This window comes from Homo sapiens, chromosome 8 (genome assembly GCF_000001405.40).
Source record: "Homo sapiens chromosome 8, GRCh38.p14 Primary Assembly".
NCBI lineage: Eukaryota > Metazoa > Chordata > Mammalia > Primates > Hominidae > Homo > Homo sapiens.
In genome coordinates, this window is record NC_000008.11 from 12,042,443 (window position 1) to 12,051,994 (window position 9,552).

At 37.2% G+C, this 9,552-nt stretch overlaps 1 long non-coding RNA gene and 1 pseudogene across 2 annotated transcripts; one reads left to right on the forward strand and one right to left on the reverse strand.

Annotated features, from left to right (window-relative positions):
• LOC105379246 (uncharacterized) lies at positions 1,047-4,098 on the forward strand. Of its 2 annotated transcripts, none has more exons than XR_948965.2 (2): positions 1,047-1,126; positions 3,998-4,098. It is a non-coding gene; the product is annotated as an uncharacterized LOC105379246 (long non-coding RNA). The 2 variants fall into 2 exon arrangements; XR_948966.3 differs by lacking the exon at positions 1,047-1,126 and adding an exon at positions 1,350-1,429.
• Positions 1,061-7,183, reverse strand: DEFB131C (defensin beta 131C (pseudogene); annotated as a pseudogene).

The window sequence follows — 9,552 nt, forward strand, 5'->3', positions numbered from 1 at the left end:
AGAGAGAGAGAGAGCATGATATTACGTTCAATATCACAGTAGGTGTACACCCAGCCGGTGATATTGATCCGAATATAATCTCCAGGGTGTGGAGTAAGATATTACTCCCAATATAGCACTGGGTGTGCATCCACCCTGTGATTTTGCTCCTAATATTCACGGAAGAAGACAATGCTATTACTCCCAACATCGCAGGAAGTGTACACCCCCATGTGAGATGGTCCTTAATAACATTCCAAGGCGGAGGGAGTGATAGGACTACATATATTGCAGAAAGTGGACACCACCAAGTATATTGTTCCCACGATCCTAGAGGGAAGAGTATGATATTACTTTCAATATCACAGAAGGTGGACACCCCCCCACTGATATTGTTTCTAATTGCAACGTGGGAGAGGAGGATATGACACACGATATCCCAGGGAGTAGAAACAACTCTGTGATACTGTTCTTAATATTCAGGGAGGAAGAGGATGATATGACTCCCAATAGAGACGGGTGTACAACCTCTGTATACCCAGGGTGTACACCGGTTTGTGAAACAGTTCATAATCTCCAGAGCGGGAGATGATATTACTCACAGTATGATAAACAGGCTGTGAGTCCACCGCGGATCCTAAAAACCAGGGGGGCAAGAGGGGCTGGCTCTTACTCCCCGCATCGCGGGGGGCCCCTCTCCCCCCTGCGATGGGTGTCCTAAGGGCCAGCGGGGCAAGAAGGGCTAGCTGTTACTCCCGGCATCGCGGGGAGTGCCTCACCCCGCTGCAATGGGGGTCCTAAGAGCCAGGGGGGCAAGAGGGGCTGGCTCTTACTCCCCGCATCGGATATAGTACTATGGGTGAAACAGCAATGTGGCTGTGGATGTAAATTAAGGGAGTTAATGTTAAAATGCACACATGAAAATAGAGGGTAAGCATTTATAAAATTTATATTCATTTTCACCTGACCATCTAAACATGCAATTATAATAATTTTCATCCATCATGTTAATTATTCGTAGATAAGAGAGTTTAAGACATGTTTTTGCTCCTGGAGTCTGAAGAAGATGGAGTTAGCATTTTCACCACTTCTTTTGTCCGTCAATTTCAATGATCTTCAGTTTGCAGCAGATGCTGAAGTCAGCACAGTATGTAATTGCATGTTCATCAGCATTGCACTTCAGTCTGCAATGATAATATTCTGAAGGACATTCATCATTAGAAATGAAGCTTCCGGCTTTAAGAGGAGAAGACAAATTATACGATACAATATACTTACTTTTTATTCTTAAATGTCTGAAATGTTTTATAATAAATTAAAAACATTAAAGAACTTTCCCAGAAAAACAAAAACAGCAAAAGAATGCAAGAGAAAAAGTGGAGATGCTGAATAAAGACAAACGATGCTTTCTTCTATAAAGAGAGGAGTAAATGAGGCAGTAGCTGGAAATGTACAGAATTTTAAATGAGAACTATTACCACATATTTCTACCTAAAATGAATTATCCTGCTTGGGGGTAGTGTAGAGATTCATAATGCAGGAAATAATGTTTAACTTCTGGAGTTAAATTCTTGAAAAAGTCATTGGGGATGGAATCTAGTGTAAGTGGAGGGGTTGGCCTTGAATCAGACAGTGAAGAGAAGGTAGATTACGGATAAAGATAAAACTATGTGAAGAGATATGGTGGTGGAAAAGTGGAAAAGCTATCTTTGGTTGCTTCTCTGTTCTTGGTGAAATGAGAAAAAGGAATCCTTAATTGAGAGAACGGGTCAGAAGGAGTTGAGTCTTAGTTCCAGCTTCCCAGGGTATTCGGGCTCAAGGCCATTTCTCCTTTGTTGAGGAAGTTACTGAGATATGCACAGGAGCCTATAACCCATAATCCCCCATAAATATTCCCTTTAAACCTACCAGTCCTTCCCAAATCCTTTTGTTACAATTTGTAAGTTAAAATAATTGCCATGACCAACATCATGAAAGTTTCTCCTTATGTTTTCTTCTATAAGTGTTATAGTCTCAGGTAATTATGTTTAAATGTATAGTTCATTTTGAGTTGCTTTTTGTGTGTAGTGTAAGATACAGGCCCAATTTATTCTTTTGCATGTGAATATTCAGTTTTCTCAGTACCATGTATTGAAGAAACCGTCTTTTCCCCATTATATATTCTTTGCATGTTTGTTGAAGGCCAGTTGACTGTATAAGTGTCTGTTGATTTCTGGGCCCTCTATTCTCTTCCAGTGGCCTATATGTCTGTCTTTATGCCAGTAGCACACAGTTTTGATTACTCTATCTTTATAATACATTTTGAAATTAGAAAATGTGATGCCCCTAGCATTGTTTTTCTTGCTCATTGTTTTGACTATTCTGGGTCCTTTGTGGTTTTATATGAATTTTAAGATTGTTTTTTCTATTTCTGTCAAGAGTGCCATTAGGATTTTGATAGGGATTGTATATAATCTATAAATTGCTTTGAATAGTATGGATATTTTAATATTATTATGTCTTCCAATTCACGAACATAGGATATCTTTCCACTGATTTGTGTCTTCTTTAATTTCTTTCATGAATGTCTGCAATTTTTAATGTACCACTCTTTCATCTTTTTGGTTAAGTTTATTCTTAAATATCTTAACTTTTTCTTGCTATTATGAATGGGATTTTCTTTACTTGCTTTCCAGTTGTTTGTTGTTAGTGCTATAGAAACACAACTGATATTTGTATGTTGATTTTCTATCCTGCAACTTTACTGAATTTGTTATTAGTTGTAATAATTTGTGGGGAGTGAAGTTTAGGGCTTTTTACAAAAAAATTATGTCATTTGGAAATAGACAACTTTACTCATTCCCACCCCTCAACAGTTTGGATGCCATTTATTTCCTTTTCTTGCCTAATTGTTCTTGCTAGAACTCTTAGTATCATGTTAAATAAATGTGGCAAGAAGGGGCACTTTAGCCTTGTTCCTGATCTTAGAAGAAAAGCTTTTAGTTTTTTACCATTGAGTATGAGTGAATAATTTCTTTTTACTTTTATTGTAAGGTAGGACTACTGGTGACAAACTCTATTTTTGTTTACCTAAGAAAATTATGTATTTTTATCTTAATTTAAAGGGTAGGCTGGGTGCGGTGGCCTGCACCTTTAATCCTGGCACTTTGGGAGGCCAAGGCTGGCGGATCACCTGAGGTCAGGAGTTCGAGACCAGCCTGGCCAACCTAGGGAAACCCAGTCTCTGCTAAAAATACAAAATTAGCCAGGCGTGGTGGTGGCTGGCTGAGGCACGAGATTGCTTGCATCCAGGAGGCAGAGGCTGCAGTGAGCCAAGGTCACTGCCACTGCACTCCAGCCTGGGTGACAAAGTGAGACTCTCTGTCAAAAAAAAAAAAGGATAATTTTGCTAAGTAGACAGTTTTAAGATAGTGTTCTTTTTTTCTTTTTTAACATTTTAAATATTTCACTTTCCTCTCTTTTTGCTTATGTGGTTTAAGAGAAGTCTGATGTAATTCTTATCCTTGGTTGTCCATAGATAAAGGTTTTTTCCCTCCTGGCTTCTTTTAAGATTTTTTTTTTGTCTTTGATTTTTGGCAGCTTCAATATAATATGCCTATGTTTAAATTTTTTTGTATTTATCTTGCGTGGTATTCTCTCAGCTTCCTAGATATGTATATTTTGTTTATTTTCAATTTTGGGAAAATCTCAGTCAGAATTTCTTCAAATATTTCTTCTATTCCTTTCTTTCTCCTCCTCCTGATACTTCATTACACATATATTGTTCCTTTTTGTAATTGGCCTACACTTATCAAATATTCTGTTCTTTTTAATTCTTTTTTCTTTGCTTTTAAGTTTGGAAGTTGCTATTTAAACTTCTTTAGGCTCACTGATTCTTTCCTTGATCACATCGGTCTATTGATGAATTCATCGTTATGGTCTAACAAGTTTTCCTCCAAAATCTGTAGGTTGAAGTCCCAATCTTTAGTATCTCAGAATGTAATCATATTTGAAGATAAGTTTTTTTTTTTTTTTTAAGGAGTGATAAAGCTAAAATGAGACTCCCAGGGTATGGCCCTCGTGCAATATGGCTGATGTCCTTATTAGAAGAGGAAGAGACACCAGGAATGCATGTGCACAGAAAAAATGCCATAAGAGGACATAGCAAGAAGGCAACCAGCTGCAAGCCAAGACAGGCCTCAGGAGAAACCAAATGTGCTGACATCTTGATCTTAGACTTATAACATCCACAACTGTGAGAAAATGAACTTTTGTTATTTAAGGCACCCATTCTGTGGTACTTTCTTATGATAACCCTATAGCAATGCAAGAATGGCCTAATACATCTATATTTATATTGGACAAAATTGACTTTAAGCGAAAAAACATAAAAAGAGACAAAGAAGGCCATCATATAATGATAAAAGGGCCAATTCAGCAAGAGGATATAAAAATTCCAAATATGTATATATATGTACCCAGTAGTGCAATACTTAGATATATTAAAAATGTCATTAGAGGTAAAGAGAGAGATACACCTCAACATCATGATGACTGAGGGCTTCAATACCCCACTTTCAGCATTGAACATTCAGCATTCTAGGTAGAAAGCTAACAAAGAATCATCGAATTTAATCTGTACCGCAGACCAAATAGACTTAACAGACATTTACAGAACATTTCATCCAATAGCAGTGGAGTACACATTCTTCTCCTCATCACATAGAACATTCTCCAGGCTAGACCACATGTTAAGACACAAAAAAGTTTCAACAAATTTTGAAAAATCAACATTATATCAAGTATATTCTAGACAAAAATAGAATAGAACTAGAAATGAATACTAGGAAGAACTTTGGAAACTATACAGATAACATGGAAATTAAACAACATGCTTCCGAACAACCATTGAGTCAATGAAAAAACTAAGAAGAAAATAACAAATGTTCTTGAAATAAATGCAAATGGAAAGACAACATACCAAAACCTATGGAATACAACAAAGACAGTGCTAAGAGAGAATTTTATAGCAATAAATGCCTACTGCAAGAACATAGTAAGATTATGAACAAGCTACTATGCACCTCAAGGAACAAGAAAAACAAGATAAAATGAAATCCAAACTTAGGAGAAGGAAAGAAATAATAAAAATCAAAGCAGGACTGAGTGAATTCGAGATTTAAAAAATGCAAAGAGTTAATGAAACAAAAAGTTGACTTTTGGAAGAGATAAACAGACTTTATAAACTGCTAGCTAGACTAACCAAGAACAAAAGAGAGAATGCCAAATAAATAAAATCAGAAATAAAACAGGAGACATTACAACTGATATAAAAGAAACACAATGGATCATTAAAGTCTGTTATAAACAACCATATGCTAAATAATCCATACGATGAAATTTTTTTTACCAACACCAATGATCAATCTAACTTTCCCAAATTAATTTTAAAATCCACCAATACTTTATAATAAATACATATTAAACTGTGGTTTATACCTGAGATTTAGATTATCAATTGACTTATTTATCTTTTCTGAGGTGCATATTACCTCAGAGCACATTTTAAAATTTATTTCAAGATTCCATCATTTATATAATTATACAGAATGATACTTTTCCTCCGTGAATGTTGGTGTTTTACATTTTTATTGAGATAGAATTTAATATAAAATTCATTCCTTGAGAGTGTTCCATTTAGTGAGTATCAGTGGATTCTTAAAGTGGGATACAGTGATGACCACTGAATGAAGGAATGAAGTACGAATCTATGCCACAACATGGATGAATCTTGAAAACATTATGCTAAATGAAAGAAGGCAGACATGAAGGATCACATATTTATTATTCTGTTCATAGTAAATGTCCAGAATAGGAATATACATAGAGACACAAATTAGATCAGTGGTTGCTAGGGACTGGGAGGAGGAGAGATTTCTTCTTGCGGTTATAAACATATTCTGGAATTAGATAATGGGGAGGGGTGCACAATTTTAAGAATACACTGATAACCACTGAATAGAACACTTTAAGGCAATGAATTTTATGGTAAATTGTATCTCAATAAAAATATAAAAAACCCACTAACATTCATGGAGGAAAGGCATAATTACTTACAATTATATAAATAAGGGAATCTTGAATCATGAATATTATATAAATGAGGGAATCTTGAATCGTGAAGTATTAAAATGTGCTTCAGAAATGATCAATAAGTCAACCAGTAATCTAAATCTCAGGTATAAACCACAGTTTAATATGTTTTTATTATGGGGTATTGATGAATTTTAAAATTAATTTGGGAAAGTCATATTGATTAATAAATATGCTTATATATAATTGACTAGTTATGTGGTTAAAAATTAAGGTAGAATCTTAACTCTCACCGTAGAAAAAGTAATTTCCATATACATTAAATGATATCATATGAGTTTTATTCAACTTTAAAGGAACACAGAGGCTAGGTCCTTGCCTGGATCAGTGGTGAATTTATCCTGTGAACCAAGGATTATGGTGGAGTATCCACCTCTTCACCTCTAGCCCTTCTTCTAGTCATCATTCGCTTTTCATTTTTCCAATTCTTTAAATTTCCTGTGTTCTGTGTGCATCCTCTCACCACCTTTTGATCAAACACAACTCTCAAGTAAGTTTATTTATTATTATTATTATTTTTTGAGACAGGGTCTCACTCTGTTGCCCAGGCTGGTGTGCAGTGGCATGACCTAAGCTGAATGCAGCCTTGACATCTCAGGCTCAAGCGATCCTCCTGCCTAAGCTTCCTGAGTAGCCAGAACCACAGGCACGCACCACTATACCTGACTAAATTTTGTATGATTATTTTTTTTTTTTTGTAGAGATGGGGTTTCACCCTGTTGCCCCCACCGGGCTGGTCTAGAACTCCTGAGCTCACCCACCTCAAACTCCCCAAATGCTGGGATTATAGTCATGAGACGCTGTGCCCGGCCTCGAGTGAGTTTATCATAGGTTAAATCACTGCAGTGAACCACCTTATTTATTTCTTTAGTATTAACTCTTCAATCCTCTGAGCAGCCTTCATGGTACAGTAAAATCTGCCCATGCCTAATTTATTTTCAGACTCTTGAAAGACCTTGCATTTTCTTTTACTTATAGTTTTAGAACTTTGGAATAAAAAAGTTTCTGTCTTTCTTGGAGGAACTGTGGACATCAAGGAAAGGACTCCAAAGACGAAAAACAAGACCCTCATGTTTGAATAGGTAAAGCAGGTTAGAGAGAATCAGTAGCTGAGATGAAGAGGACTTCTGTGTATATTCACTCCTCTGAAGAGGTGAGTTGCTGAGTGATTATTGAACCCTTCAGGAACAAGAACATTTCTGTGTTTCAATGAGATTTTATATCAGGAGACAGCATGCAATCATCACGACTATCGGTCATTTAAAGTACATTTATCAAAGGTAAAGAGGGTGTGTGCAAAGGTAGTAGAAAGCACAGCCATGTCAAAGGCAGGAGAGAGACTTGAAATATCAGCATTGTCTTATGCATTCTGGAGGAACTGTAAAAGTTAAGGAAGCAGTTATAGAGGAAAAGCATTCATTTTATTTTTCTGATAATAGGAAGTAGCACGTAATACAACAGCATGCCTATTTATTACTATTTTGGCACCGTGTGTTAGCATGCTTAAGCAATGGAATTAAATATGAAATTATAAACAGACTAGTGAGATACAGAAAAACTTTTATTTGATTATCTTTCTGTCCAATCGATCGAATGGGATAAACTAATTTTTATATTGAAATCTAAGTTAACACAAATTGTTTGCACATCAGTTACATGTAATATGAGAGGAATTAAAGAAAGGAGAGTGGGCCTTAGGGAACCTATAATACACTTCGGAAAGTAAATAATATATACAAATAAATAGCAATGCAACACAAGCATATTTCTGACAGAGAGGTACAAATTACTTCTTAGACACTAAGGAAATGAACATAATCACCAGAATACTTTGGGTGCCGTAGGGAATGCTTAAACAGGGTATGAGTAAACTTTATTTATTTATTTATTTTTTATTTATAGACAGGGTCTCACACTGTTGCCCAGGCTGGAGCGCAGTGGTGCGATCTTGACTCACTGCAACCTCTGCCTCCCGGGTTCAAGTGATTCTCCTGCCTCAGCCTCCCGAGTAGCTGGGATTACAGGCACACGTCTCCATGCCTGGCTAAGTTTTGTATCTTTAGTAGCAATAGGGTCTTGCCATGTTGGCCAGGCTGGTCTCGAACTCCTGGTCTCATGTGATCCACCCGCCTCGGCCTCCTGAAGTGCTGGGATTACAGGGGTGACCCACCACATCTGGCCAGAATATCAGCTTCAGAAACTGTAAAGTACATGCACGTTCCTGGTCTTACTTGACCTTCATTCCTTTCTAGATGGTCTCACTACAGGTGAAGTAACTTTTCTCAGTACCAAGAAGGAAGTTCTCTTTCTGCCATGGCTTCTTCTTGGTGCTACTTCTATAATACTTCAGAGTGTTAGTGAATGGAACACCTGATTATATTATTTCAGCAGGTCCTTCCTGCCTTTAGAGACTTTGAAAGTGAAATCTTGAGTCAGGGATGGGGAGGTCTTGGAAGAGGCAAACTTCCCAAGTCTTAGCCTAAGGAGGGCCAGTGAGGGGCATGAAAGCTCTGGGGATGTTTTTTCCTAAACCTCCATTCAGGTCCTTCCTCCTGAGTTGCTGGGGCAGCGGTGCCTGGGCACAAGCCTCTGCCAGCACCCTAGATAACTCAAAGGGGGATCTTAGGGTCATTGTGCTGGTTATTGATGACTGTTCCATTTACTGAAGCCAGAATGGCCTAGGATCATTAGTATCTCTGATCAAGTATCCAGAATTTACTGATTTTTCTCACCTCTCTGAGAATTATTTCTTTCTTGATCACGAGGAAAAGCTTTGGAAGTACAGTTTACACTGCAAAGCAATACAATTTATGAGAACAAATAACTGAAATCCTTTATGGAACACTAAGGGCATAATTTTCACTGCTTGATATTTTCTATGAACATTTGTTTGCCAGCCTGATGTAGGTTGGTGCAAACGTAATTGTGGTTTTTGCCATTTCTTTCAATGGCAAAAATCCCAATTACGTTTGCACCAACCTAAGAGATTTGGAGCCAGGAGGTAGGCTTGGAATCCTGCCCAGGAAGCCCAAGAACATTGCGTAATCCATGGGCTAGCAATCAGGGATATCAAAGAAGGGTCAGAGGAAGGTTCATTGCATGCTGGGGGTGGACCAGTAGGTACCAGATGAGCATTGAAAGATGGCTTAGATTGCAGAGGGCTTCAGCAAAGAAAGATCAAGTGCTCTGACCAATGACTTTCCTTAAAAGAACACCAAGAAGAAAATCAGATAGCTATCAACCTATCAAATATAAGCTGTCACAGTAGAAGAAGAAAGAAGGCAATTTACCATTAGATAATTAAATTTGACCTAGAAATTATAGCGCTTTATTGCACATAACTCTCCAGGAAGGCACCAGATTTTCAATAAACAATTTATAATCAAGTATTCACTGTTTACTTTCCTACCCTGCCTTCAGCAGTACTGACAGCTTTGGGGA